Raw genomic sequence first — 6,000 nt, forward strand, 5'->3', positions numbered from 1 at the left:
ATGACTATCAAATTTACAAAAATAAAAATAATAAGATAGTACTATGAACAATTGTACAACAATGCATTGGTTAACCTTGATTAAATGGACAAATTCCTATAAAAACACATCCTACCAAGTTTGAATCAGAATAAATAAATAATCTTAACAGATCTGTGACTGTTAAGGAGGTTGAATCACTGATCAAAACCCCCCCATAATAAAAAGTCCAGGACACATGGATTCACTGGTGAATTCTACCAAACATTAAAGGGATCATTGTCAAAAACAAATTGTCTTCGAATTCTTCCAAAAAATTGAAAGGGAGGGAGCATTTCCAAACTCATTCTATGAGGCAGTGTTACCTTGATACCAAAGAAAAATAAAGACACTACAAGAAAACTATAGGCCAAAATATCTGATGAATATTGGTGCAAAAATCCTCATCAAAATACTAGCAAATAGAATTCAACAGCATATTAAAAGGATTATAAACCATAACCAAATGAGATTTATTCCTAGAATGCAAGGGTGATTCAGCAGATGTCAATCAACCAATGTACACCATATTAACAGAATGAAGAGGAAAAAAAAGACTACGTGATTGATGATCTAAATTGATGCAGAAAAAGTATTTGACAAAATTTAACACCATTCCATGATAAAAACACTCAATAAATTAAGAATAGAAGGAAAATACCTCAACATAATAAAGGCCACATATGTCTTCATTTCCATTTATGAAAGACTGAAAACTTTTTCTGCTTGATCAGGCACAAGACAAGGATATCTACTTTACCACTTCTATTCAACATAATACTGGAAGCACTAGCCAGATCGATTAACTAAGAAACATAAATAAAAGGCATCCAAGTTAGAATGGAAGAAGTAAAATTATCCCTGTTCACAAATGGCATGATTTTATATGTAGCAACCACTGAAGATTCCACAAGAAAAGCTGCTAGAACTAATAAACAAATTTGGCATAGTTGGGCATGGTGGCTCATGCCTATAATCCCAGGCACTTTGGGAGGCTGAGCTGGGAGGATCGCTTGAGATCAGGAGTTCAAGACAAATTTAGCAAAGTTGCAGGATGCAAAATCAACACACAAAAATCAGTTGTGTTTCTATACACTAACTATGAGCCGTCTGAAAAGAAAATTAAGAAAAAAATCCATTTACAATAGCATCAAAAAGAATAAAATACTTAGGAATAAACTTAACCAAGAAGGAAAGAAACATACATTGAAAACTACAAAACATTGCTTAAAGAAATTAAAGACGCCAATAAATGGAAAGGCATTTCATGTTTATGAATTGGAAGACTTAATATACTTACAATGTCAATACTACCCAAAGAGATCTGTAAATTTAATGCAATTTCTGTCCAAATCCAAACGGTGGGTTTTTTTGTTAGAAACAAAAAAATTCATGCAAAATCTCAAGGGACCCCAAATAGCCAAAATAATCTTGAAAAAATTACAAAGCTGGAGGTCTTACATTTTCTGACTTCAAAACTTACTACAAAGCTACAGTAATCAAAACAGTATGGTGCTGGCATAAAGACAGACATAGAGATCAATGGATCAAAACAGAGAGCTCAGAAATCAACTTTGTATACATGGTCAAATGATTTTTGACAAGGGTGCCAAGACCAATAGGGAATGGACAGACAGTCTTTTCAACAAATAGTATTGGGAAAATTGATATCTACATGCAAAAGAATGAAACTTGGCCGTTAGCTTACACCATACATAAAAATTCACTGAAATGGATCAAAGACCTAAGTAAAAGAGCTAAAGCTATAAAAACTCTTAGAAAGAAACATAAAGGAAAAGATTTATGACATTGGATATGGCAATGAGTTCTTGAATATGACACCAAAAGAACAAGCGACAAAAGAAAATATAGATAATGTGGACTACATTGAAATTAAACTCTGTGTGACAGAGGACACAATCAACGAAGTGAAAAAGCAATTTATAGAATGTAAGAAAATATTTGCAATTTAAGTATCTGAAAAAAGGTTAATATCCAGAATATATAAAGAATTCCTGTAATTCAGCAACAACAAAAACAAATAACCTGACTTAAAAAATAGGCAAAGGACTTCAATAGAGATTTCTCCAATGAAGATATACAAATAGCAAAAAGCACATGAAAAAATGCTCAATATCACAAATCATTAGGGAATGCTAATCAAAACCATGATGAGATATTTCCTCACACCCATTAGGATAGCTACTATAAAAAAAACAACTAAAAAATAGCAAATGTTGGTGAAGATATGGAAGAACTGGAACATCTGTAGCTTCTATTTGGGAATGTAAAATGGTGCAGCTACTATGGAAAAGTGTGGTGGTTCCTCAGAAAATTAAGAATACAATTACTGTATGATCCAGTGATATTATTTCTGGATATATACCGAAAATAACTGAAACTGGACTCCAAAAAGATATTTTTAAGCCATGTTCATAGCAGCATTATTCACAATATCCAAAAGGTAGACACAGCCTAAGTGTCCATTGACATATGAATGGGTAAACGAAATGTGATGTATACACAAAATGGAAGGTTATTCAGCCTTAAAAAGAAAGACAAGTCTGATAGAAAGCCCAGTCAGATTAATATCCAAAGGACTGAGCCTTGAACAAAGGGTTATCTTTTAAGTATTTCATGGGTCGGGGGAGATCTGTACAGGGGGAAGCATACTACAGAAGAGAGAAACAAAGACAGTTATTTAATTGAGACATGCATTACATCATTTCTTACTCTTTAAGGAAAAATATGTTTTGTGACTTGAGTTTATCTGTCTAGTGATCTGGCAGCTGCATGGCAAGAGAAACAGAGTCTTCACAAAACCTGGGAAGGGAGAAGAGATAAGGCTTACTAGCCACAGAAAAACAGGCAGTTAATTTTAAAGGACTCCAGCTCTTTCTCTTTCTCAGGGGGAGTTGGGTTTTCTTATATACAACTGAGTTTCTGCTTTACACACTCTTTAATTTCTTTTAATTCCTGTTCCAGGACTATAGGCTTTTGGACCTTTTGTAATGCTGCTAAGGGACTTGTACTCAGTCTACTTCACTGTTCTAATACTTTGCTTGAATTTGGATAAGGTTTTAAAGGAGCAATTTGTTCGGCTCCCCCATGGTCTCCAGGTCTTTCTTCCGCTAATCCTCCTGCTGCCCCTTGATCTTCCTGTCCCCTATTTTGCGAGAGGTATGGAGGGGGCAAGCATGATAGGGGGTCCCATGGCTTTTCACTGGGCAAGGATTTTTTACTAGGTTCTTTTTCTTTTTCTTTGAAGGGGGAATATGAGGGCTAATTCCTTGATCCAGCAGACAGCATAACTTATCTCTTGTGAGGATGGGGTTTTATCATTCACATAGAAAAATAAAGCTTGGCACACCCAATCCTCATCTGGGCCAAACCTAGGTCAAAAGACTGAAGGCTTATGAATGGGGTCTTTAGGACAGATAAAACAGCAGTACTTACCATCTTTTCTTTTCTTTGTCCCTGGCTTGAGGGTTGTCCCTCCAAACCTGCAGCATTATCCCTAAAGGACTGTCCGGGGGAATGTCAGAGGGAATCTTTTTGGCTCCCTCTTTCCTTTGTGCCTTAGGCCTAGAATTTCTGTTTCTCATCTTCAGTCAGTCTCTGTGTCTGAGCTTTTTCCCTGTGTACTCAACCACCCCCCAGCCTCACTGGAGGTTTCCTGCACACCCTGAGAATCGCTTCATCCATCTATGGCCATTTCCCTCGTGGGAGAACAGAACTGCAGATTGGGACTCCGCACTCACTTCATATCTAGGATACATCTCAGTCACACACACTTGACCTCCAAAAATGCCCAACCACCAAGGTAGTACTTATGGTCCAATTTTTCTTCCTCGGCTCATACACAAGGTTGCCTGGTTGCTGTGGTGCCTTCTTTCCTCCTGTGTCACCTCCTCTGCCTCCTGAATAACAGTCTCAGGTTTGTCTATGGCCTCTGCGGGAAGTCGGGATACCTAAACAGAGCGGGCTATCTAAATCAGGTGAGATGTGTCTCCCCTCTCAGCAAGAGTCCCACTCCACACAGGCACAGAAGCCCCAGGTGGGTCCACAAGTTTGTGGTAAACACATTCACCTGTCCAAACCCAAAGAATGAACTTGGAGACATGAAGAACAGTGGAAGTGAGACTTTTTTTTTTTTTTGAGACAAAATCTCGCTCTGTTGCTCAGGCTGGAGTGTAATGGTGTGATCTCAGCTCACTGCAACCTCTGCCTCCCGGGTTAAAACGATTCTCCTGCCTCAGCTTTCTAAGTAGCTGGGACTATAGGTGTGCACCACCATGCTTGGAAATTTGTGGCCTAGAACCCCAATTCAACTGCAAATCACTCCTTGACTATTTACTGAATGCTTGCCATGGACAATGTCCATGTATTTTTGTATTTTTTGTATTTTTAGTACAGATAGTGTTTCACCATATTGGCCAGGCTGGTCTCAAACTCCTGGCCTTGGCCTCCCAAAGTGCTGGAATTAGAGGTGTGAGCTACTGCACCTGGCCGGAAGCAAGACTTTTAATGGTGGCCTTGCAAGATCGGGTGTCTGGTAGGCAGGTACAACCAGGGCAGTTACAGCAGGTAATTTATCTCCTAGCACAGAATTCCTTCCCCCAGTTCCTCATTGGTCAAGTACTACAGAGTTATCTTCCTGGACATCGCCTAAGTTTCATTATCCCCCTTATAAGGTTATACCCCGGTTCCCTTCCCTGCTTAAGTTTGACTTCCTGATAATAAAACTTTCTTCCCTTTTATGGGCTGACCCCTCCTCTACATTCTGTTCACTTATTATGACCTTCTAGGTGCATGAGCCGTGCAGTTTGTTACATCCACAGGCTGGCTGCCAGTGCTTAGATTTACCATGCCTTGAAAATGGATCATTTAAGGGGGAGGAGCCAAGATGGCCGAATAGGAACAGCTCCGGTCTACAGCTCCCAGCGTGAGCGACGCAGAAGACAGGTGATTTCTGCATTTCCATCTGAGGTACCGGGTTCATCTCACTAGGGAGTGCCAGACAGTGGGCGCAGGCCAGTGTGAGCGCGCACCGTGCGCGAGCCGAAGCAGGGCGAGGCATTGCCTCACCTGGGAAGCGCAAGGGGTCAGGGAGTTCCCTTTCCGAGTCAAAGAAAGGGGTGACGGACGCACCTGGAAAATCGGGTCACTCCCACCCGAATATTGCGCTTTTCAGACCGGCTTAAAATACGGCGCACCACGAGACTATATCCCACACCTGGCTCAGAGGGTCCTACACCCACGGAATCTCGATGATTGCTAGCACAGCAGTCTGAGATCAAACTGCAAGGCGGCAACGAGGCTGGGAGAGGGGCGCCCGCCATTGCCCAGGCTTGCTTAGGTAAACAAAGCAGCCGGGAAGCTCGAACTGGGTGGAGCCCACCATAGCTCAAGGAGGCCTGCCTGCCTCTGTAGGCTCCACCTCTGGGGGCAGGGCACAGACAAACAAAAAGACAGCAGTAACCTCTGCAGACTTAAGTGTCCCTGTCTGACAGCTTTGAAGAGAGCAGTGGTTCTCCCAGCACGCAGCTGGAGATCTGAGAACGGGCAGACTGCCTCCTCAAGTGGGTCCCTGACCCCTGACCCCCGAGCAGCCTAACTGGGAGGCACCCCCCAGCAGGGGCACACTGACACCTCACACGGCAGGGTATTCCAACAGACCTGCAGCTGAGGGTCCTGTCTGTTAGAAGGAAAACTAACAACCAGAAAGGACATCTACACCGAAAACCCATCTGTACATCACCATCATCAAAGACCAAAAGTAGATAAAACCACAAAGATGGGGAAAAAACAGAACAGAAAAACTGGAAACTCTAAAACGCAGAGCGCCTCTCCTCCTCCAAAGGAACGCAGTTCCTCACCAGCAACGGAACAAAGCTGGATGGAGAATGATTTTGACGAGCTGAGAGAAGAAGGCTTCAGACGATCAAATTACTCTGAGCTACGGGAGGACATTCAAACCAA

The 6,000-nt window shown here is 41.5% G+C and overlaps 2 annotated features.

The window, feature by feature from the left end:
- Positions 4,588 to 5,191: an enhancer, noted in NCBI's record as "H3K27ac-H3K4me1 hESC enhancer chr7:99406501-99407104 (GRCh37/hg19 assembly coordinates)". NCBI's record gives its function as "activates a minimal SCP1, AML or CMV promoter by ChIP-STARR-seq in naive H9 embryonic stem cells {active_cell/tissue: H9 hESC(naive)}" and the evidence as "EXISTENCE:reporter gene assay evidence [ECO:0000049][PMID:30033119]".
- Positions 5,192 to 5,794: an enhancer, noted in NCBI's record as "H3K27ac-H3K4me1 hESC enhancer chr7:99407105-99407707 (GRCh37/hg19 assembly coordinates)". NCBI's record gives its function as "activates a minimal SCP1, AML or CMV promoter by ChIP-STARR-seq in naive H9 embryonic stem cells {active_cell/tissue: H9 hESC(naive)}" and the evidence as "EXISTENCE:reporter gene assay evidence [ECO:0000049][PMID:30033119]".

This window comes from Homo sapiens, chromosome 7 (assembly GCF_000001405.40).
Source record: "Homo sapiens chromosome 7, GRCh38.p14 Primary Assembly".
NCBI classification, from domain to species: Eukaryota; Metazoa; Chordata; class Mammalia; order Primates; family Hominidae; genus Homo; species Homo sapiens.